The sequence below is a fragment of the Homo sapiens genome, chromosome 17 (genome assembly GCF_000001405.40).
Source record: "Homo sapiens chromosome 17, GRCh38.p14 Primary Assembly".
Taxonomy (NCBI): domain Eukaryota; kingdom Metazoa; phylum Chordata; class Mammalia; order Primates; family Hominidae; genus Homo; species Homo sapiens.
The window spans coordinates 48,342,470-48,368,041 of record NC_000017.11 but is presented as its reverse complement, the minus strand read 5'-3'; the positions used below and the strand labels follow the sequence as shown (position 1 = coordinate 48,368,041).

Here is a 25,572-nt window from a genome sequence, read left to right as displayed (position 1 = left end):
CAGGGAGAAAAGGTAGGATAGCAAGATACCTTCTGAAAAAGAAGGGAACTAACATTCCACTTCATACTGTTCCACATCAAATTCTACATATAATTTTTATTGTCAGAATTTTCTTTTTTTTTTTTTTGAGACAGGATCTCGTTCTGTTACCCAAGCTGGAGTCCAGTGGCGTGATCACAGCTTACTGCAACCTCAACATCCTGGGTTCAAGCGATCCTCCCACCTCAGCCTCCCGAGTAGCTAGGACTAGCATGTGCCACCACGCCCGGCTAATTTTTATACCTTTTGTAGAGATGAAGTTTCGCCATGTTTCCCAAGCTGGTCTTGAACTCCTGGGCTTGGGCAATCCTCCTGCCTTGGTCTCCCAAAGTGCTGGGATTACAGGTGTGAGCCACCACACCTGACCTCAGATTTTTTTAAATTGACAAATGCAGTGAAATATATTTAAAATGTACAGTATGATTATATATATATATATATGGATATATATCCATATATATATATACACACACATACATATACACACACATATACATGGTGAAAGGATTACCATAGTCATACTAATTAATACATTCATCACCTTACATGGCTTACATGGTTACCTTTTTTTTGGTGAGAATGCTTAAAATCTACTCTCTTACCAAATTTCAAGTATGTAATACAGTATTATTAACTATAGTCACCATGCTGTACATTAGATCCTCAGAATTTATTCATCTTATAATTGAAAGTTTGACAGAAATACTTAATTATAGTATTACCAGGAATAAAGCAGGTTCTGCTATTTAACATCAACTAGATGGACCTACTACTTTATTTGATACTGCTGAGTTCTTAAGGTATAACTACTATTGGCAGAAGCAATACTCTTAGTATATATGACTTATAAGATCATATTTCTTCTCGACTGACAAGAGAAACCAGGAAGCCAGGGCACTTTAAAGTAGGTAGAGAAAAGGACTGAAAATCTGTGTTAGTTGGAGTGGGCATCATGGGACAGGGAGACACAGAAGTGGCTGAGATCATCAATAACATACTTTGCCTATTTAACAATTTACCTAGAGCACCTTTTAACTGCCACTGCATGACTAGGATTTTTTCTGGGCCAATAAATGAGAGCAACAGCAAAGTTCCTGCTGTTGCCATCATCAATATTTTGGAAAGAAGAGAGAGAGTGTACGTACACATGTGCACATACATGTATGCACATACTCGAACCCTAATTTCTATTTATATTAAATTAGAAGTTGGGTAATGATAGGAATTGGGGGTTAGGGAAGTGCCTCAAGAGAAGATGGAAAATAGCAAGAGTAGATGGAAAATTGCTCAGCCATTTGATGATTTGCTTGATTAGCTATGTTTTACAGAAAGGAGTTTTATGGAAAATTCTTCGTGGTGGCCAGGTACAGGTGCACTGTCTGCTAGGTGGAGATTGACCCATCATACTATTATTCACAATGTATTTAAGTTTCAGCCAGTTTCAGCTTACATATGCCCCTGCATTGATATGGACACTCCTTCTTCCCAGGTTTTGAAGTGTTCCACTTCCCACCCCGTCCTCTGCCCCTTCCTACCCCGTCCTCTGCCCCTTCCTCTCCCCTTTGCTACTGCAGATGTCAAAGCTGTCCTGGAATTTCCTCACCCTCTAACCCAAGTATCTTACATTTCTCTTCACCTGATTGCCAACCCAGGAACTGTTCTGGAAAAGGAAAGGAACAAGGAAGGACAAATTGTCAGGTTTCTTCTCCACTTTCTTATGTCTGATAATGTTCCCCAAATTAAACTGTGAATTATGGCAACATACTTATTCTCCACTGACCTCTTCTGTCTTTATTTTCTGAAAATTTGTCACACACTAAAGAAATAACCAATATACTCACTGGGCTGATACTCTTCCCTGAAGAAGCTAAGCCTAATTTTAGTAATGTATGTACTAGAAGACACACCATTATCACCTATCACCTTTTCTGCATCTTTTTGGGGGGTTTATGGACCCTTTAAACTGCAAGCTTGTCCAACCTGCCTTATTTTGTTGTTGTTTTTCTTTTGTTTTTGTTTTAGGCTTTTAGCAGGGTGAAGCCATGATTTTTAGTTTCTACCTCTAGTGATAAGTGGAAAAGAGGGATGAGGAAGGGGCTTTAGTGGCCCACCAGAAACAGAAACTAAGAACCCATGAATGTATTCTCTCCCTTGGGCACCCCTGCAAAAGAATTCTATAAAAAACTGTGGACTCCCTCCCTAGGTTAAAAAAAAAAAAAAAAAGCTCCGACGCACATCTACACTCCTGAGAGGTCAAAATGAGGATAGAAAAGCATCCCTTATATTTGGTGGTGTGAAGGTTATTATGTCTATAGCAAGAGTTAATATGCAATGGCTCTGAGCCTGACTGGAGGATGTTGAGTGAGTGGGCAGTGAGGGAATAAAATGAGCCAAGTGTAGACAGTGCTTTTGAAAATGTCACTGTGATGTGACGGGAAACAGGACAGCAGGTGGAGGGATGTGAAGGGGTGAGGGAGGATTTGCTTTATTTTTATATGAGCATAAATGCTGATGGAAAGGGCCAAACTGAGAGGAAGAGGTTGAATACAGACAAGAGAAAAATTGATAAAGAATAATGTAAAGTTCCTGTGAAGGCAGGAGGAAATGGGATCCAAAATACAGTAGCCTTTCTTGGGTAACCATCATATATAACATTGTTTTTGTGGGGAAAGAAATGCAATTTAGTTTCCAAATAAGTGACTTACAAATGATCCTTTCCACCACTGCTATTTTGTTAGTTTAAGACTTCAAGGGTTGCTGGATGCAGTGGCTCATCCCTGCAATCCCAACACTTTGGGATGCCAAAGTGGGAGGATTGCTTAAGCCCCAGCCTGGGCAACAAAGTGAGACCCCATCGCTACAAAACAAAAACAAAAACAAAAACAAAAAAACAGTAACTGTTTTTCAGTCTCTCATTGCAAGGTTGTTGAGAATTAGTAGTAATGTGTGTAAGCATCTAGGTGTGGTGGCGTGTGCCTGTGGCCCCAGCTACATGGGAGGCTGAGGTAGGAGGATCCCTTGAGCCCAGCAGGTCAAGGTTGCAGTGAGTGACGTTCATGCCATTGCATTCCAGCTTGGGTGATAGAGCAAGGCCTAGTCTCAGAAAAAAAAATAGATAAATAAAAGACTTCAAGGGTTGTCAGTTTTGCCAATTATTTCCCAAAATAATAGAGGAGATAGGATGGTACAATGAACTGCAAGAGCCCCATTCTTGGCTCAGACACTAAAATGTTAGACAACCTTAAGTCAATTGCACTAAAACGTTAGACAACCTTAAGTCAATTGTTCATGTTTCACTTGTTGTTGTTGTTGTTTGTTTTGTTTTGTTGAGATGGAGTCTCGCTCTGTCACCCAGGCTGGAGTGCAATGGCGCGATCTTAGCTCACTGCAACCTCCGCCTCCTGGGTTCAAGCGATTCTCCTGCCTCAGCCTCCTGAGTAGCTGGGATTACAGGCACACGCCACCATGCCCAGCTAATTTTTATATTTTTAGTAGAGACAGGGTTTCACCATGTTGGTCAGACTGGTCTCGAACTGCTGACCTCATGATCTGCCTGCTTTGGCCTCCCAAAGTGCTGGGATTACAGGCGTGAGCCACCACACCCGGCCCATGTTTCACTTGTAAAATTAAGAATTTAGGTTTAAAAGGCAAAGCCCAGGAGTTCGAGGCTGCAGTGAGCTATGATTGTGTCACTGTACTCCAGCCTGGGTAACAGAGAAAAAAAAAATTAGGCTTCAGAGGCATTTGAGATGTGTTGGTGTTGGTGGTGGGGTTTGACTGTTATAACAACTGGGAATGCCTCTGGTATTTGGTACCTAGGACCAGTGTAATACACAGTCCTGTAATACACAGGCCAGATTGTCACAACAAAGAACCATCCTGCTGAAAGCCCGTAGAGCTCTTGATGAGAAACCCCAGGCCACCGCTAGGTTCCCTTTTAGGACCTTTCCAGCTCTAAAGTCAAAATTACGTGAGGAATTTCAGTGAATTAAATGCATCTTTTAAGCCATTGAGACTCTTTCAAATCTCAGGGATAACCTTTTGTTTTTCTCAAAATTAGTAGTGACTTTGGCTGGTTATAGACTTTAGCAAGCTTTTTGGACCAGGTGCTATAGCTATGGTAGGCCAACCAAAATTGAGAAATACAAGTTTGACTTATTCCCTTTTTTTTTCCCCCTTGTATTTCAGGTACTATTGGGATTTTCAGCCCCAAGGTGAGTCCTCTTTGACCACGTATGGTTTTATGCTAAAAATGTGTAAATGGGATTGTTTATTCCTGTCTCTTCTCTACAAGCTTCTCCACAGAGTGGCATTAACCATTTCCAAGGAAAGTTAGTGGAGTGTTTAATTAACCTTCACCCTGCTGCGCTCCCCTGCCCTGCTTTTTAGCAACAAGAAGCTCTATGCTTCCTCCTTCTGAGTGGACTGTTGCTAGATTATTTTATAAAACCAAGGCTATAATATGCTTTAATTCCTTGAGCTTTGTTAGGTGCCAACAGGATCCAGTAGCATTCAAATAAAATGGTAGCCAAGTCCATAATAAAAACCTTGGGAGGGTTCCAACTCAGCTAATCCTTCATTTGCTCCAGAAATAAATTCCAGTATGTTACCTCCTCGATCACAGTGCCCTTCCACACAGCCTGCCTGTCTGGCAGCAGAGAAATGTCAGAAATGGAGCAGTGTTGAAATTCCCACTAGAACAGTGTTATCACATTTTAATATGAGCCTTGCTGCAGCCTCAGTGCTTCTAATTGCTTTCAAACCATTGTTTTCCTGCTTTTGCTTGATGAACCCAGCATCTGGCATGATTCTAAAAAGTACTACAGACAGCTGTGTGCAAAATTAAAAAAAGAAAAAGGCCAGGATTAAAACACATTTTTAAAAGGTTCAGAATTGAAATATTTTTTTCCGAATTCAAACAGTTTGAGGGGATATCTTTTAAAGTATTTGCCTTCCTTCTTTTTAGTACTCTGGTTGAGAATGTCAGAAACATCAACCTGAATATTATCTTAATTTATTATAAATGGAGGGGCTTTATTTTCTCAGATAATCACAGAGTTTTAGATCAAACTTACAAATAGCTTTATAAACTATTTTGCTCTATAACTTTCTTAACCAATTGTAAACTTTTTAAGTACTTTTTATTCTCTTAATGTTGTCACTGTATCCAACCTCAGTGAATAGTAATACCTTAAATAAATTAAAATTGTGAGTGATTATAAGTTTTATTAAAATTTTTATTTTTCTGGCTCATGCTTTTAGTGTATTTCAAGTTTTTATAAAGCTTTATTTTAAAGCCATCTTTAAGAAATAAAAACCATACATTTTCAAAGCTTCTTGACTCTCATAAGTTAAAGTTGGAGCACTTACACTATTTTACGTAATGTGATGTGCTGTTACTACATATCTCACTGTCCTAAAGCATTTATAGCTGAAAACATAGATTGAGCAGTGGATAATTTTATGTAATAATGTAGCAATTTGCTTCGCAAAATGTGAATTGCACTATTCAGGGGATGGCCCTATAGTTCAGGGTTTAACAGATGTTAACCAAAATCCACAGGGGGAAGCACATGATTGTGAACTGGCAGAAATGAATGGAACTGTGAGGGTAGAATTAATTACCTAAAGGAGAAATAAAGAGTTAGTGTCAGAGATGTGGTATAGGAATAGGTTGAGAAGAGAAAATAATTTTGGAGCTTAACACAAGAGACTATATGGGACTAAAAAAGACAAAAGGCACATCTTACCAGATTCTTGAAATGCTGGCATTGCAGTCATCTTTCAACATAAAGCAGCTTCTACCCATCCTTTCTCTCTTGGAGAGAGGACAGAGGTAGAGCAGCCAAGGAGACAAGTGAAAATAGTTTATTTAGAACAGAAAACTGTATTTGCTTCTTGACAATGATTAAATATATGTGGCAAAGTCTTAGTGCATTTGGAAGTAAATGTAAGGAAAGATGACATAGAAAAACTCATGCCCTAGCCCCCAGTCTCATGACTTCTCACAGATATTTTCAGGGGTAGGAGGAGTTAGTGAGAGGGTATCTTTTACCTTGCCCTTTTGATCAGACCTTAGCTGATTATGTGCTTCAGAAGCTGGTGGGATGGGTAGGAGGAGTAAGTGGTTTAGATAAGGTACAACAGGACAATTTAAGATTATGAAAAGATTAGAAATATGTAAGAAAGAGAACAACTAGCAGAAGAATCTTAAAAGCCCTGGAAAACTGGGTGGTGTTGGGATGGGAGTGAGAAAGAACAGAAATGCTGGCCCCAAACTTTCTGAGCATTTTTATCTGTGACAGGACCCTCTGTACAAGAAGATGATGGGATGAATTTTATTAACTCTGCATCTGCCTAAAAACACACTTGAGTTCTTCAAGATATTTGAACTAAACCAGGTCTGGTGCCTGGAAGGAAAATAGTCTTTAATTATAAAAGATCCATTATTTGTATATCCTTTTAGTAGCACACATTTTAAAAATAGCAGCCTTGGCCGGGTGCGGTGGCTCATGCCTATAATCCCAGTACTTTGGGAGGCTGAGGCAGGCAGGTGGATCACCTGAGGTCAGGAGTTCGAGACCAGCCTGACCAACATGGTGAAACCCTGTCTCTACTACATACAAAAAATTAGCTGGGAGTGGTGGTGCATGCCTGTAGTCCCAGCCACTTGGGAGGCTGAGGCAGGAGAGTCGCTTGAACCTGGGAGACGGAGGTTGCAGTGAGCCGAGATTGTGTCATTGCACTCAAGCCTGGGCAACACGAGCAAAACTCTGTCTCAAAAAGAAAAAAAAAAAAAAACCAAGGCAGCCTTATCAAGATATAATTCACATACCATAAAATTTACCCATTTAAAAGGTACAAGTTAGTGGTGTACAGTATAGTATAGTATAGTATAGTATAGTATAGTATAGTATAGTATAGTATAGTACAGTACAAGTTGTGCAACCATCACCACTATCTAATTTCAGAACGTTTCATCACCCCAATAAGAAACCCTGTATGGATTCTAGAGCCCATTATCTCCAGAGGTCGAGAGCCCATACTCTTCGTGACTGTTTTTCACTGTCTCATTGCAAGGTTGTTGAAGATTAGTAGTAATGTGTGTAAGCATCGAGCTTAGTACCTTGACATAGTGGGAAAAAAAAAGCCAGTAGTTTCTATTTATCATAATGGGACATTAATGGTAATTCTTTCTCTCACATTTCCACCTGCGTTTTTTTATTGGTCCACTGTCAACTTCCTGAATGATATTTATTTTAAAAAGGAAACAGGGAAAATAAAACATGATCCAAAGAATACATTACTTTAATGTAGAGGGGATATAAATGGAAGGGCACTTTTAATGAGCTTAAACATAATTGGAGAACATGAAAGAGGCTTTTTATTTTTACTTGACAATAAGACATAATATTGCTTTAATAATTCATGTCCTGCTTACTCAAAAAAAATTTCTACTTAATTTTTTACTTAAAGTTACAAAGAAAAGCCAGCGGAGTTTTTGCCATGGAATTTTTATAATTTCAGTAATCAATATCTAAAAGGTGATATCGATAAGGGAATATTAATTTTGCCCTTAGATTTGATGGCAATATCACTTAAAGTTATTGAGCAAACTGATTTCCTTCATTTTGCTTCAGTTTCCCCTTTTATAAAATGAGTTAGTGATAGTTTTAATAAAAAATTTGATTATAAGGTATAATGTTTATAATTCAAAATTTATTTGCTATAAAAAAATCTTCATGAATATTAGATTGAATTTCCCACCATAGACCCAGAATCTAAAACAAATGACATAATATTTAAATAAAAATCTAGGGAAGACCATGGGAATATTATATAGAATAATATCTTTTTTTTATCCAGTGGTCACTCACATTACATTTGTGGTAGTGGTAAACATGGGCCAGTGGAATCTCTTGCCAACTTAAAGATTCTTTGAGTATCTCTATGAGTGGTGTAAAAGGTTTCTGAGAAAATTATTCAGTATATTTCATTATGAAAAAATTCTACTTTGTGAAGCTTAAAAATCTCATTTTGAAATGGCAAGCCTATATTCACGTCAAAGTAAATCGATGCCTAATAATATAGCCTGGCAGGCCAGGCACAGTGGCTCATGCCTGTAGTCCCAGCACTTTGGGAGGCTGAGCAGGTAGATTGCTTGAGCCCAGGAGTTTGAGATCAATCTGGGCAACATGGTGAGACCCTGTGTCTACAAAAAAAACAAAATTAGCTGGGCATGGTGGCACAGGCCTGTAGTCCTAGCTGCTTGGGAGGCTGAGGTGGGAGGATCACTCAAGCCTGGCAGGTTGAGACTGCAGTGAGCCGAGATCGCGCCACTGCACTTCAGCATAGGAGACCGAGCGAGACCTTGTCCCAAACACACAAACAAAGAAATAAACAAATAAAAATATAGCCTGGCAAAAACAAATAGTGCTAAGTGAATAAGGAAATTATAAAGCCATGTTAACTGTAAATTAAGAGATTTAAGAGGTTTACCAACGAATGTATAAACTTTGTGCATTCTGAGTCAAGCAAACTATTAAAAAATGACATCTATGAGAGAATTAGAAATTTGAACACTGGTTATTTTATGTTATTAGGAAACTACTGGATTTTTTTAGGTGTAGCAGTGGTATTATGGTTAATTTTTTTAAAAACAGTTCTTTATTTCAGAGAGAGGTGTGCCATGATATTTAAATATATAATGTCTGACAAATAATATGGGAGAGGAGAAAGAAACAGGGTAAATATAGATGAGATGAGATCGGCCATAAGTTGACACTTGTTGAAGCTGAATGATGTATATATGGGAGTTTATTACACTGTTTTGTCTACTTTTATACATGTTTAAACTTCTCCATAATGTAAAGGTAAAAGAAAAAGGTTGAGATTGATTAAAAATGTAACATTTTTCTTTTATCTCTATCATGAGATCTAGTATATTAATGCATATATTGCTTTATGCATCTGGATATAAAGTACATAGAATAGTGAACTGATTTTTTAAATTGTTGTTCAAGTTAATGTTTTATGATAGAAAGAGCCTAAGCTTTGAAATCATACCTGAATTCGAATCCCAGCTCCTCTACTTAGAAACTTTGTTAGCTACGGCAAATTACATCAATTCTCGAAGCTTCAGTTTCCTCATGTATAAAATCTCACTAATAATATCTACTTCACAGTTACTATGAGTTGTAATGAGTTTTAATGAGATTATAACTCATAAGGAGTGCTTGCCACATGGTAGGCACTTACTAAAGTGGTAACAAATATTATGTCTCAAAGTAGGGCGAGGCAAGTACATACATGTATAAAACCTTGATAATAAAATTTTCATGTATCTTTTCATAAAATTCATTCATTCATTATAGCTGAACACTGGTGTAGGGCCATGAAACTCACCATGTATATATTTGTAAGGTTTGTATTTATAGAGAGCATTTTTATTGGTGGTAGCCACTTCAGAGGCTAGATTTACAAGCTTTTTGCTATATGGTGTCTGAGACATGTTGAATGGAAGAACAAATGTTGCTTAACTTCTTGTCCCTTATGGTCACATACTTGGAGCATGTAGTTATGACAACTACAAGAAGCAAAACATTAAAGCAGCAAAGAAACACCATCTTTACACTTTAAAAAAAAGAGGAAGGAAATTTCCTTTGAAGTTGAAGAGAAGTGTTTTTGAATTAATGGAGTGTACAGTGATTTTACTAAATTTTATTTATGAAAATACTCTTTGCATTCATGCCAAAAGGTTTTAGCACAGTCATAAGTAGGATTTATACAAAGAAACACAGCCCAAATTTATGACGTGTTTGCAAATGTAAGAAAAAGTCTAAATTTACAATATTTATAATTTATTGTTAAGTATCTTTCCACCACTATTCCTGGAATGCTGATATTTTATAAACACAAGCACTGGTTTTGAACCTAGACTATCTCAACCTATACTACTTTTTAAAAAAAGAAATATTCCAGCATGTTTTTCATGTCTTTTGGGGATTTAATAAGGGGGAAATGAACCCAGGCTGAATACTCCTGCCTTTGGCTTTGACTCAACCTTTTAACATCAACAGTCTTGACAGCTGCTTTTGTGGCTTGACTTCCTTCAGGCATTTTCCCCCTTTTTCTTATTTGCTACATTTTATACAAATTAATCTGTAGCAAGTGGACACACACACAAACTGTTTTTGAAGTTAATTACTAATTTTGATACCTTTTCAAATAATTTACTTCCTATACATCTACTGGTAGGGTGGTTTTTTTAGTGGAATAATGCATTTTTAAAAGGGCAGAATAATGCATTTCAAAATTAATGCAGCAATTGTTTTGCAATGACTATCAAAGATTCTTCTTTTTTCTTTTTTTCTGAGACAGAGTCTCGCTCTGTCACCCAGGCTGGAGTGCAGTGGCACGATCTTGGCTCACTGCAAGCTCTGCCTCCTGGGTTCAAGCAATTCTCCTGCCTCAGCCTCCCGAGCAGCTGGGACTACAGGCGCCCGCCACCACGCCCGGCTAATTTTTTGTATTTTTAGTAAAGACAGGGTTTCACCGTATTAGCCAGGATGGTCTCGATCTCCTGACCTCATGATCCATCCGCCTCAGCCTCCCAAAGTGCTGGGATTATAGGCGTGAGCCACTGCACCCGGCCAAAAGATTTTTTTTTTAACAAAAAGACTCACTTTTTTCCTTTCTAAAGTTAACATTTCCCAAGATTTTTATGTCCTTTCTAAAAGTCCTTCCTATTCTGTAGTAGATGATATTAAGATATAAAAAAAGAACTAAATTTTATGCAGGTAAAAGAAATCATTGGAATCAGGTAATGCTGCCTTCTGTATTCCCTATACAATGTATTATGTACAAGGATGTTCATGATAGCATTGTTTGGAATAGCAAACAGACAGCCTAAATGCCCAGCAATTGGGGACTAGTTAAATAAACATACACCCATTTAATGGAATGCTATATAGAGTTAAAAGAAAATGATACATATATATGTAATATGTATGTAATACGTAATATGGAAGGTTCTCCAAGGAGTATTGTTAGATGAAAAGGGTAATTTGAGCAAACTAGTGTGTATAGTTTGTTTCTGTGTGTGTGTGTGGCACAAGCACACGTGTTTTTATTTGTATATAGAATATTTTTGGAAGGATACATATGTATCTATTAACAGTGGTAATCACTGTTGAGGGGGATACTGATATGAATGAAAGAGAGAATATTCTTTGGTACTATTTGAATTTTCACCATGTGCATGTATTATTTTTTAATGTTAAAAACTGGTTAAAATAAAAAATGAGATAAATCTATATTGCTGATATGGAGCAGTTGTCAAGATAAATGGTTAGGAAGAAAAGCTGGATACAGAACAGAACAAATGTTACCATTTGTTTAAAAAGAGGAAAAAAATACATATGCCACACACACAGAGACCCTTGTTATATTAGATACAAAAATTCATAGAACACCCAAGAAATCTCACAATGGTTGTCTCTGGAGAGAAGGATCAAGAGAAGAGAGGATAGATGAACTTTCATTATATGCCTTCCTGTAACATTTGAAGGTTTTGCTCTGGGCATACTTAACTTTTTTTATTTAATAAAGAAGCTTTCCAAAACAAACAAAAAAACAGCATGGTAGTAATCTATTTTTCAGTAGAATCATGATTAGCAGTTTCTTACCCACTCAAGTTTTCATCTATCTATCTATCTATTTATTTATTTATTTATTTTAGTTTTTGAGACAGAATCTCGCTCTGTCACCTAGGCTGGAGTGCAGTGGCTTGATCTCGACTCACTCACTGCAGCTTCCATCTCCCAAGATCAAGTGATCCTCTCACTTTGGCCTCCCCAGTAGCTGGGACTACAGGCATGAGCCACCATGCGCAGCTAATTTTTGTATTTTTTGTAGACATAAGGTCTCACCATGTTACCAGGCTGGTATCGAAATTTTGGGCTCAAGAGATTTGCCCACCTCAGTCTCCCAAAGTGCTGGGATTATAGGCATGAGCCACTGCTCCTGGCCTATTTATTTTGAAATGTTAATTAATGGGAAAGGCCCTGATGATGGTATAAAACAGCAGCATTCTCTGTTGTTTAATGTTTGAGAACGTTGGTATATATAGGTGTGTTGAGTTTACTTATCACTTAAAAGTGAATTTTTTTTTTTTTTTAGACAGAGTCTCGCTCTGTCACCCAGGCTGGAGTGCAGTGGCACGATCTCAGTTTACTGCAACCCCCACCAATAGGTTCAACCAATTCTTATGCCTCAGCCACCCAAGTAGTTGAGATTACAGGCATGTGCCACCATGCCCGGCTAATTTTTGTATTTTTAGTAGAGATGGGGTTTTGCCATGTTGGCCAGGCTGGTCTCGTACTCCTGGCCTCAAGTGAAAAAGTGAATTTAAAAATAAATTATATGGCCAGTCATGGTGGGTCACATCTGTAATCTCAGCCCTTTGGGAAGCCGAGGGAGGCTGATTGCTTGAGCCTGGGAGTTCCAGACCAGCCTGGGCAATACAGAGAGACCCCATCTTTATAGAAGATACAAAAATTAGCCAAGCATGGGGGTGTGCACCTGTGGTCCCAGCTACTTTGGAGGTTGGGGTGGGAGGATCACTTGAGCCTGAGAGGTCAAGGCTGCAGGGAGCTGCAATTGCACCACTGCACTCTGGCCTGGGTGACTGAGTGAGACCCTGTCTCAAAACAAAAACAAAACAAAAATAATAACAATTTTAAATTAGTATTGTATAATACTCATGGTGACTGATAATGATATCTTTTCTTACCCCATCTTAGTCTTTTTAGAAGTTCACAGAACTTCAGATTTTCGTCTTCACATAGATGTCAAGGAAAATCAAGTCACTGAAAATTAATGACTGCTTTAAGTTTGTTTGATTAGCCCAGGGGACTTTGGTTGAGGAAAAAAACAACTTATAAATGATTTCTCTTAGAAGGTATTATTCCTGGACTAACACAGAAAATCAGGTGAGGAGTACAGTTTCTGAGCATAGAATTTTTACATAAGAATTAGTGTTCATCAAGACTTGTGCCTCTAACAAACTTTCATGTTCTAAACACAAAATATTGAGAGAAAAGTGTAGTCCATTTGAATACAAGCTTTTTTGTTTTTTTTGCTTAAAACTTTTTTGTGAGTAAGTAGGTTAAGACTTCAGACCTGAAACCCAATGAATTTGCTTGATATTTTGAGGCTAAATAATGTAATAGGTGGACCCAATTCTATTAGAAAGCATTTATTTTTCATTTGGCTTCTCATCAACACATGCTTCTCTCAGAAACTTGTTTATGAAGATGGCTAAGTATCACTAGCACAGGAAAGGGACTGCTAAGTTATAGGCAAGGGGATTTATATGACATATAAAATAAAGATTCCAGTTTCTGCTGACTCTTGTGAGGCAAGTAGTGGAAGAACCAATCTTGTGAACCCTATCGGTCCTTGTCAGCTGATGTGAATTTAACACACATTTGCCATCCTGGAAAAGTTATTGATCATGATTAATCTCTAAAATGTATTTTCCTAAACTTAAAAAGTGATACCACTTACCCTTAAGATTTATGCACTTTACTTGTGTTAGTGATGCCTCAATTAAAAAGTAATTTTTTTAAATAAAGAGATACTTTTTCATGTGAAACTTTTTTTCCAAGGAACCAAATATTGAACTGAATTCTTGACAGTGAGAGGTTTTGGCTGTTGATAATGATGTTACATACATGTTGTCAAATATGTGAATGAGAATCCCTGTTTGGAGTGGGATGTGGCATGGGGAGGTTGAATCTTGTCACCATTTGCCATTACAGCTTTAGTGGTATTGGAGGTTTATGTTATCACAAAGAAAACTTACCCTTTCTTCAGTATGTTAAAAGCTGGCTCACATGTTTAGGCCTGCTAATCTTACCCATAATCCATTCTTTACTATGTATTATTTTATTTTTACTCCTTGGACTTTTGAAAAACATTTCTTATATCTACCTGTAGCCTGTACAACATGTCTTCTTCTTCTTCTTCTTTTTCTTCCTCTTCTTCTTCTTCTTCTTCTTCCTCTTCTTCTTTCTTCTTTTCTTTTCTTTTTTTTTTTTTTTGAGACAGAGTCTTGCTCTGTCACCCAGGCTGGAGTGCAATGGCGCGATCTCGGCTCACTGCAACCTCTGCCTCCTGGGTTTTAAGCAATTCTCTCTGCCTCAGCCTCCCAAGTAGCTGGGATTACAGGCACCTGCCACCACGCCCAGCTAATTTTTGTATTTTTAGTAGAAATGGGGTTTTGCCATGTTGGCCAGGCTGATCTTGAACTCCTGACCTCAGGTGATTCACCTGCCTCGGCCTCCCAAAGTGCTGCAATTATAGGCATGAGCCACTGCACCCGGCCATCTCATTCTTCTTTAATGGAAGATATTGGAATCCAACTAGCCTTGTAGTTTCTCTCAAGAAGTTTCTTAAGTAATGTTGGCTTACCAATTGGGGCATAGTAGACCCCAAAATGTATCAGGATTGTAAATAAGTGCTAAGGCCTACTACAACTTGCTGTTTGGGAGAAAGGAAAGATGGGACAAGAAAGCAAGATGAACCAATAGTAATAAAATTGCTACATTTATGTGGCATTATATATTTTTCAAAGGCTTTTCCTGCTCTGAGACTTAAAGCATGATGGTGCCAGAAAGGAAACACATTCTTTAACCAAGCCAGGTCAATGCTATATTTAAGTATCCAACAGAATCAAACAGAAGGTGCTGGAAAAAAATCAGTATATTGATTTCACTAAGCCTGAGGTGGCTGTTCTAAATTTTGCAAGCATGAAATTCATACCAAAAAGTGATATTTTGAAAAAATTACTACATTACTCGATAATAAATTTCAACTATGAATTGGACCACTTCTTTCTTGACCAAATCATTGACCAAATTTTGTTTTGTCTGTCAGTTCTACTCTCCATACCTAACGTGACTACTGCTATTATCACTAATAATCATAATTTATAGATTTACTTTATTAAAGTTAAAATACTAATTGATAGTATATACCATAAAGTCAACTCACTGGCTGTCATTCAATATGCCTTGCCTTTGAGTAATGATCATGATTTATTAAACATGCAGATTTTCAGGCTATATAGTTCAGTGGATTAGAACAAGAGCTTAGTAATCAGACAAGTTGGGGTGAAAGCCTGGCCCTGCCACTTATGAGTCACCTATATGACTTTGGGTAAGTTATTTCATCTTTGTGTCTCAATTTCTTTATCTTCATCTTTGGGATAATAATACATCTCAGGATTGTTTTGAGGATTAAATGAGATAGTCCACAAAAAGTCTTGACCCAGAGCTTGTACCCAGTAAGAGTTTAGCTAGCTATTATATAATTATTATTATTATAGCTAACTTTCTCCTATATGTCAAAAGATACTGAAAATTCAGTTGGATAGCTTTGTAATAAGAATTAAGGACTGAGAATACAGTGGCCCAAAGAAAACAGAACTATGAGCCAATAATTCCAGATTATGATTGCCTGGTTGCCATATGATAAGTGCATTCATTTTACAATATATTTATCCACATACTACCAAATACCTAGGTTTATATATTTTGAATTATGTCAAAATCTCATTACTGTTGAAAATATTCCCACTCAGCAGGTTCCATTTTAGTACCAGTTGAACAATACCAGTGGTAGATGGAATGTGTTAGTGTGAAGCTGGAATGACTGCTGACAGGCTGTAATTTGCTTTATGAAGTGTGGGTTGTCACATATACAATTATCTGGTTTATATTTGTTGCTGCCAGCCCTACAGTTTGTTAACATCCAGGAGTTATGCCTTTATGTGAAACCTAAGAAGGGTTAAAAATCCCAGCATTTTCTTACAGGGTGGGAGAGGAGAAGACAGTGGCTGCTTTTTTTTTTTTTTTCTCTTTTCTTGTTTCTTTTTCTTTTCTTTTTTTAAGAACTAGGATGATGCTACACACTACAGCTCACCCTACTGGTCAAAATTAAAAACTGCATTACAAAGGACCATTTTCTTGAGGGAAAAAAAGAAAAAAAGAACTTTTCAATTAGCTCCCACTGACATTTTCCTGTCCAATCCACCACTGACAGATATAGTTCATTCTGAGAATATCATTAAGCTATGCTGCCCTTTCGGTTGTTGGATTCACAGGTGTTGTTATAGTGATTATACTAAGAGTGTCTAATCAATTTGGCTCCATTTGTGATTATTTAGACTGTGCCACTCTCCTCAAATGTTATCTCTAAAGGTTCTTAAGAAGGCTGTTATTCTTAGCATGATTACATAATTAGCAAACAGTAAAAAACTGTAGTTTTTTACTAAGCTAAGCTAAAAACTGTAGTCTTAGGTTCAATTTACTTCTTGTACATTTGAGATCCAGTTGGAGCAACTTTTTAAAAGAATGATAAATGGAAACTTTCTTTACCTGACCTATCATTTATTCTGTAGACTTAATGACATTCAGTACCATTACACTCACTGCCAGGGCTTTGGGGGGAAAAAAGGAATATTTATACATTGAATTATAGATAGGTGTAGTAAAGGAAAAAAAAAAGAGAGATAGGCAGAAAGTCCGACTGTATAGAACAGAGAAGAATTTGAGTCCTTCACTATACATGGATTAATCACAAGAACTAACCACACAGATCCAAATGGATATTTAGAAATTGGTGAAGCCTCTAGGATGTTCTCTGGAAAACACAGTACATTTTCTAATGCATGAATATGTGCAAAATGGTATGTAATTTATAATGGAAGTGTTGACAGAATTTTAGTTTTGGTGCAGCAAATGTGCTCTATAATATACTTATGTGTGAGTAACATTTCATATATGGTCACATCTGTACCCAACATATATCTTTAGTTGGTATTAGATTCAATAACTTAGTTGAATGGTTATAATAAGGACCAATAAGCTGCAGTTTTGCTAACCTTACTATAGTTCAGCTTTGGGAGCTGTATTACTATTAAATTGGCCCATGAAAATCTGGCAATATTAATGCTATCAAGCATGAAAACTAACTGGACTTGGATCAGGGAGCTTTATTTATAGCATTTTAGTGAGAATTTATTAGTTTAAAGAGGGAGCTGTATTTCTTATGGGATCTTAAATATTAAATAGAATAGGAAGTCATGTGTTTCCTTCCAACAACAACAATAATTTAAAATTTTTCAATTTTAAATTAATCTAAATTTCCTTATATAATCCAGAGATACTTGGTGAAGTAATAGCAAACCCTAGTGTTTTGTTGTTGTTGTTGTTGTTGTTCTTTTTTGTTTGTTTGTTTTTGAGATGGAGTTTCACTCTTGTTGCCCAGGCCGGAGTGCAATGGCACAATCTCGGCTCACCGCAACCTCTGCCTCCCGGGTTCAAGCGATTCTCCTGCCTCAGCCTCCCAAGTAGCTGGGATTACAGGCATGCACCACCATTCCTGGCTAATTTTTTTGTATTTTTAGTAGAGACAGGGTTTTCCATGTTGGTCAGGCTGGTCTCAAACCCGAAACTCAGGTGATCTGCCTGCCTCGGCCTCCCAAAGTGCTGGGATTACAGGCATGAGCCACCACGCCCGGCTGCAAACCTTAGTTTTTAACCACGCCATATAAACAGTTGGTTGCAAATATGAATAGAGTCTTTATAATATAGCTCACAATTAATTTGAAGAGAAATAAAAGACGATGATGTAGACTAACAAAAAAAATCGAGACTTTACATATTGAATAAGCAAACATATATGTTTTCTCTGTTATTTGTTATTTTCTCACTTTTTTTAATGCTTAAACCATTTTCTGTCTTTTTAAATTTCTTTCTCATTTCTCTGGTAAAATTGTCATTATGGCCTGTTTTTGTCTCAAAATAGTATCTGCAAATTCAGGACTAAACGGATTTGCTGTGAACTAAAATAGTTACAAGGGGAACATCATCATGGTTCATTTTTCTCCCTGTTTTATTTGGAATTGAATTAGTAAATGAAGTTTTAGCAGTTTAATTCACTTCTCCATAAAGTTTATGGAGCAGCAACAGCTGGTTGAATCTGTGGCAGAAAAAGCCAACTTCTAGTGGCCAAGACTATTGTTTCAGAATTAAGGGGGAAAACTCATTAACTGTTAATGAAAACACAGGGAATAAAAACAAATAGCACAGAAACCCTAGGAAATAATTACCTTACACCTGACACAAAGCTGCTTTATCTTTCTGCTCCAACCCTCAGAAATTCACAACTTATCACTCTGTGGAGCATGAATGAAATTGAGTTTGACTCTCAGAAAAGAATAGAGAAATCATCCTGCTTATGGGCCCCTCAACATGTACTGGGTGGAGAACCTGCCATTGAATATACCAAGGAGTGTATCTAACGCCCAATTCTTATGACACTTAGGCTACAGGAGCAAATTACCTGCTAATAGCAGGTGAACCCTTGATATAGTTCCACTAGATCTTGTTTAGAAATACAAAGAGAAAGGACTGAAGGTAGTGGATGTGATTAATGGAGATATGATGTGTTAGAATATATATCTGTATAGAAATATATTGATTCTGAGGGAGTTGCAGTGGGAAAATGTGTCTCCAGTGGCAAGGGGTCTTGCTTGTGAGAAATCCACTCTAAGCAGATAGAGTTCTAAGCCCTAATTGTAGAGCTGCTGAGTGGAAATGTCTGTCACTATAGTTTGTGATCATTTATGTCTGATCCCACTGGACTACAGTTGTGGCCATTTAGAACTGCAATTGTCAGAGCTATAGACAAATCCAGAGAACACGTACAGTTATGTTTTAAAGAAAAATGATGTTCTTAAACAAATCCAAAATGACCACAATAATTGCTGTTCTTCTATAAAACTTTTCACCCATGCATCCTCAGTAGTTGTAATCATTTCAATTACATGGGAGTGTATATTTATATGGTATTATAGCCTTGTTTCTGTGTGTGCCCAAGGGAACTGGGTCACTTGATATGACACTAAAAACACTTATAACAACATCTCCATCATCAGGAACTAATTGCACTTGGGTGTAAAGCTTATTTCTAAATGTTCCCGCACCACAACCATTTGTACTACTGACCTAGGCTCTGTTTTGCTGCATTGAGTTGTATATCTATGTCGTTGTGTACTTTACAGAGGAACTGTCTCATGTTTGACACCAGGGGTGGCTGTTGAAAGCACACCTTGGGTGACTATACTCAGAAACCATAGGAATCACGTGGAAGTGACTTTTCCATCTGAAGTTAGGAAAGCAAGTGCCAAATCCAGGCAGGTGTTTTGGGTAAGACTTTAAAAACTGAGACTGTGAAGGCAATGTGATACCCTGGATTGGATCCCAAAACAGAAAAAGTACATTAATGGAAAACTTGTGAAATCCAAATAGAGTCTGTAGTTTAGTTAATAGCAATATACCAATGTTAATTTATTGGTTTTGGCAGATAGACCTCAATTATGTAAGAAGTTGACATTGGGGGAAACTGGGTGAAGGGTATGTAGGAACTCTGTACTATCTTTGCAACACTTACATAAATCTAAAATTATTCCAAAATAAAAAGTTCACTAAAAAAAAAAGCCCTTCCTGATCTGCATGTTTTTTAAAACACTTAGAATGTGAGCATGTACTTTTTTTCTTTCTTCTTTTCTTTCTTTTCTTTTTTTTTTTTTTTGAGGCAGGGCTCACTCTGTTGTCTAGGTTGGAGTGCAGTGGCACAGTCATGGCTCACTGCAGCTTTTACCTCCTTGGCTCAAACGATCCCCCCATGTCTCAGCCTCTCAAGTAGCTAGGACCACAGGCACAAGCCACCATGCCTGGCTAATTTTTCTACTTTTTGTAGAGATGGGGTATTGTCATGTTGCCCAGGCTGGTCTTGAACTCCTAGGCTCAAGCCATCCACCTGCCTTGGCCTCCCAAAGTGCTGGGATTATAGGTGTGAGCCACTGTGCCTGGCTAGGTTCTTTTTCTTTAATGGTGGATTTGCCACATTTTTGAAGCAAGCAGAGAACTTTAAGTCCAGAATAATAGTTTATACATAATGTTCAGTATATCCTACAAAAGTTAAATTTTGCTTGGCAATTCCAGTACTTTTTTTATTTTTAAGGATTTTTATTTGGCTTAAAATAAAAATTCCATTTAACCTTGCAGCTCACTTTCAGGTTACTAGCCAGGCAGTCCATTTAGATTGTGTTGATAATATAATTTTAGTGGACTTCCAGTGATGTAAAATTTGAGCATTTTAATCCTCAGTCCAGTATTTGAGAATTTTTCTGGTTACTATGGAAATTACACAGTGATGCTTTAAGCATAGCTATAAACTTTGTATACTGATAAGTAAACTAATAAAAGAGAGTATTTCTTCTGGCTTTGGCCAATGACTATTGTGTGAGTTTTCTACAATTTTTATTTCTCTTTTTCATAATAAACTTTATAGTTTATTTCTAAAGTCCTATATTTGTAGGTGTTCAACTCAGTTATGGACATCTACCTACCATACAGCATTTGAAGAAGAGTCTAGATATGATCATCTAATTTATGGAAAGAGAAAGCTACAGCCATTCTCTTTTTATCATTTTATAACCTCCCTGGCTTTCTAGTTTAATTGTAGGAAATAAACCTTTAAAGTGAGGCAATACAGATTCTATGTAGGTTGTTTGGTTTCACAGCTCCCTAGTTGAAATCCAAGGCCAAAACTCTACAGTATTTACTGAGATTAGCATTGGTGATTTCCTTTGGAAATTAGTATTTGAGATAATATTAAATTCAGTTGAAAATCCTATTTTCATGTTTGTGAAATGAAATAAGCAGCTGTCAGTGTCCTTTTATTAGCAGACTGTACCTCTATTTGGGGGATTTTAAGGAAAGCCATTTGCAATACAGAGCCTTTTCTTCCGGTTTCTGAATGAGCTAACATCTTCTGTCTGAACCTTTTAAAGTATCATAATAACATCAGTCACTTCTACAGAATACAATCCAATGTATATTGAAAACACACAAAAGAGATTAGCATTAATTGCATAATTCAGTATTGTATATACATTACCTTTTATCAAAGCCATTTTACAGGACAAATATTATCTTCTTAGGGCTTTTAGAATTCCTAAGAGGTCGGTTGCCTAGGCTGTAAACTAGAATTACAAAGAAAGAACTTTGTTAACGTTGCAGAACAAATAGGAATACAGTCCAGCAAAGTCTAGGTTTTCTCTATTTTTATAATACTTCTCTTACTTTTCAGAGAAAGACTATTGACCTTGCTATATTATATTATGTATAGAAGGTTAAACCTTTGGGTCAGTCCTATTTCATTTGAAATAGAGGCATGCAGGGTAAAGGTTGTAATTATTGGAGACATAGTATATATGAATATAAATTTAATTCTTTTTTTTTTTAGATGGAGTCTCGCTGTTGTCACCCAGGCCGGAGTGCAATGGTGCAATCTTGGCTCACTGCAACCTCTACCCCCCGGGTTCAAGCGATTCTCCTGCCCTAGCCTCCCAAGTAGCTGGGATTACAGGCGCCCACCACCACACCCTGCTAATTTTTGTATTTTTAGTGGAGAGAGGGTTTCACCATATTGGCCAGGCTGATCTTGAACTCCTGCCCTCAGGTGATCCGCCTGCCTGGGCCTCCCAAAGTGCTAGGATTACAGGCGTGACCCACCATGCCTGGCTGAATATAAATTTATATAGCTATGTTTTTATTTTAAGTATGATAGAGAAATTTCTTTCTGGTGGCAAGAGGTATTCCCACTATAAGCTAACAGTTCCTAAGTTTTAGTGAGAGAGTTACTTGAGTGGAAAATTTTTCATCCAGGTAAGTCAGTTCTTGAACCTATTTAACTGTTTCCTATATGTTAATGGATAGTGGCCATGTTCATCATCCAGTAAAAGATACACTTTTTTTTCGAATACTGGAAGAGATCATACATAGATCCTTTTATAAGGATGTATCCTTTTATAAGGATGCCCAAAGATTAACCTTATTTTCTGTCTTTTTTGTCCCTCAGGGGGAGACATTGGACAGGACAGCTCTGATGATAATCACAGCGGGACTCTTGGCCTGTCCCTCACATCCGATGCACCCTTTTTGTCAGATTATCAGGATGAGGGTGAGTGTTATCCTTCTGGATTTTGGGTGACTACCATACTTCATTATCTTCTGGCCTGACATCTTTGCCTTTTGTCATTTTTGTATCTAGCAGCCTTTGGTGGGTTTTCTGTACTGGTAATCACTAGTTTGCAAAGAACAACTATTTGTTTCATTGTGGTGCTGATCCTCCTTGGTAATTCAATACTTCTGAAGTTAATGTACTTAGGGAGACACTAATTCCATATTGGAACAGGAAGACATCATTATTGATCTTTTTATAAAAACCGTAGCTCAATAGCTAAGAGGGCATTTTAAGATTTCAGGGCCTAGTTTATACCATTCTTTTGGATTTTTTAGCTTCACTGATTTACATGAGAATTGAAGCTTTTATTTAATGATTGTTGGATTATTAATTTTCTGTGGATCATTTGAGACCCTTGAGCTCATCATAGTATATAATAAGATACCATTTCACCTGTACTTCTCACATACCCCTGACCATATTGGTATTGCTCAAGGGGAAGGGAAAGCCACAAGAACCACAGTGTGAATCTTCCTAGAGCATCAATTTTACTTGAATATTTGGGAATGAGAGGAGTTAAATAATTCAATTGTTAGAAACATTATTTTTATATTCAAAATTCCACAGTATATAACATAATGAAATGCAAAATATACATGAATTTTTAAGATAAGACATAAAATATAAATATTTTGGCCTGATGGCTGCCAGTTTCTGGCTCAGGCCTAGATTTCCCAAGTGTGGGGATCCGCTGTGCCTCTTCTGTCATGTGGCCACCTGAGCAGAAGGTTTCATCATCATGGATGCGCATGGTTTTCTTATCAGAGTCTCTCTCATGCCTTCCCAGTAGGGTTAAAAAGGTAGAGGTGCTACTAAATTGAACATCAAATTGGAAACACATTATTCGCTTAGGGATTGGGAATAAAGTTGGTAAATTATTCCTTACTTTTCTTTGTTAGTCTGCAATCTTTCCATTTCTTTTTATTTAGATTTCAAGAGCTTATAATTTCTGTTTTACTCTCTCTTTTTACTTTATCCATTGATTGTTATTTCATTTAGCCCTTTTGACAATTCATGTTTTTTTTCCCTTTCACTGACTTGATAACCTCCACATAAGAACTGGGGGTTGAATCACACAGAAACATTTTATTTTGTATAATAGCACAATTAGTAATACCCAAGTTTTAAAATGGGGTTTGTAATATAGGATCTGTGTATTGATTCAGGTATTACACTAAAAACATTGTTTGGATTGAAAGTTTAATAATTACATTGGTAGCTGATTAATAATTGTAGAAAATTAACAGTGCAAAACAGGAAGAAATCAACTTTTCATTTGTTTTTGATTATTCTAATGCTTGACAGAATTAGAACAATAATGCCTCATTAATCCTTAGGTCACTTATTTGGTATTTCCAACTTTCCCAAACACAACTGAGAACACAATAAGTAATCCAGAAAGGCCTCTAAGTGGAAATAGATGTGACTTATGTACCTTGCTCTTGGAAGAACCCCTAAGGCCCTTTGCTGAGGAATCTTCTTACAAGTTTCTAACCAATACAGTGTTTTGGTTTCTCAGCCCACAGTAGAGCTTCAAATTAGAAGAAGGGGTACTATAAAGGCATCAATTAACAATAAGATTAAGGTAAGAAACAAGAACAAAACTTTATATAGAAAACAAAATCTATAAATAAAATTTATCTAAGAATAATTTTTTTTAAATAGCAGTTTGGGGTCATTTTCTATGATAGAGAAAAAGAGTGCATGCTCACCTAAGTGCTCAGTACCTTAATAAATTAAAACTTCTTTAGCCAGCATTTATTGTTTATTGAGCACTTACTATTTGCCTTGCATCATCTGTATGGTAAGCACTCTGCATATGTCATCATTTGATCCTCAAGACTGCCCTAAAATGTGGATATTAGGTTTACCCTTATTTTACAGACAAGGAAACAGACTCAGGGAAGTTAACTTATCTAAAATCACACAGCTGGTACGTAGTAGTGCCAGGATTTACACATACATAGTCTGGTTCTAAAACCTCTGCTCTTAACCACTCTACTATCCTTACCACTATCCTTATCTGAGATATCCAAAAAAATAGATTCATACTCCAAACATTTTGGCAGATTCATACTCCAAACATTTTGGCTAAGACCATACAGATAAAAATACTATGCTTAAAAATATTTTCATTAAAATAGTTGAAATTTAGGAAAAACATTTGTGTTGAAAGAGGTAAATCTGGAAAACTCCAAAGTGCAAAACTCATAAGAGGAGTTAATTATATTAGTAATATTAAATTCTTACTTAATAAATTTTTGTTTTTAGTTCTATGCATGAAATTAAAGAATTCCCAAAGTGACATAGTCAATGGTAGAGGTAGGAATAGACCTATTTCTATGTTAAAAACTTGATTGTAAGATGATGTGATACTGTTTAAATGTGAGTTTCTGCAAAGCATTGAATCTAGCACAGTGCCTGAGTGCCTAATACATAACAGGCACAATAAATGTTCATTTTCATCCCCTGAAAATTAAAGATACATACATTTCCTGTGAAATTAAAGAGAAAGTTATAAAGGTGTCAAAATTTTTAGCAATCTCTATATCCTATTTAATTAGTTTTTACCATTATAGAGAATGGTAACACTTGATATGCTACTTATTCATTTTTTTAAACAAATGTTTGTTTAAAGATTCCTAGTTAACACCAAGACACTGTGTTAAGCTGCAGGTGAAAAATGCAGTGAGAAAGCAGATACAGTCCCTGCCCTCATGGAGCTTACCATCTCACTGGGAAAACTATTAATAAGTAGACAAATAAAAAAATATAAAGTTAGTGTCTTTATAGATAGCTAAGTCAATTATTTATGAAGAAAAAATATTCCTCTTTATTTTTTATTATTATTTTTTTTGAGACAGAGTTTCGCTCTGTCACCCAGGCTAGAGTGCAGTGGTGGGATCTCGGCTCACTGCAAACTCTGCCTCCTGGGTTCACGCCATTCTCCTGCCTCAGCCTCCCAAGTAGCTGGGACTATAGGCGCCGGCCACCGCGCCTGGCTAATTTTTTGTATTTTTAGTAGAGACGGGGTTTCACCGTGTTAGCCAGGATGGTCTCGATCTCCTGACTTCGTGATCCACCCGCCTTGGCCTCCCAGATATTCCTCTTTAACATTCTTTGTAATGACAGTTATTTTAGGCTTCTCGAATTTTGTCTTCATTAGAAAATGTGAAAATATTTCAGATATTTTGTCTTCCACTGTCAGCTAGAGTAGTATCCTAGACTTGCCATTATAAAAGGATACACAGTCGGGCCCATCCACCCATAATTTTAGTGATGAGGGGCAGTAACCATGCTGCATATTGTGTTTAGGTCATGACTTTGTGAAAACTACAAAGAGTGCTAGAAGAATATAGAAGCATGCTGCAT

At 36.9% G+C, this 25,572-nt stretch overlaps 1 protein-coding gene across 10 annotated transcripts in view; it reads left to right on the top strand.

Moving 5' to 3' along the window:
• The window catches only part of SKAP1 (src kinase associated phosphoprotein 1), a 311,620-nt gene that overhangs the window by 77,020 nt on the left and 209,028 nt on the right, over positions 1 to 25,572 (top strand). For 7 of the 10 annotated variants that reach the window (XM_005257755.5, NM_001075099.2, NM_003726.4 and 4 more), the window contains exons 3-4: positions 4,228 to 4,253; positions 22,036 to 22,137. In XM_005257755.5, coding sequence (XP_005257812.1) covers positions 4,228 to 4,253; positions 22,036 to 22,137 — 128 coding nt within the window. Of the gene's footprint in view, positions 1 to 4,227; positions 4,254 to 22,035; positions 22,138 to 25,572 lie in introns of those variants that run through there. The other 3 variants (XM_047436976.1, XM_047436974.1, XM_047436980.1) reach the window with 2 other exon arrangements.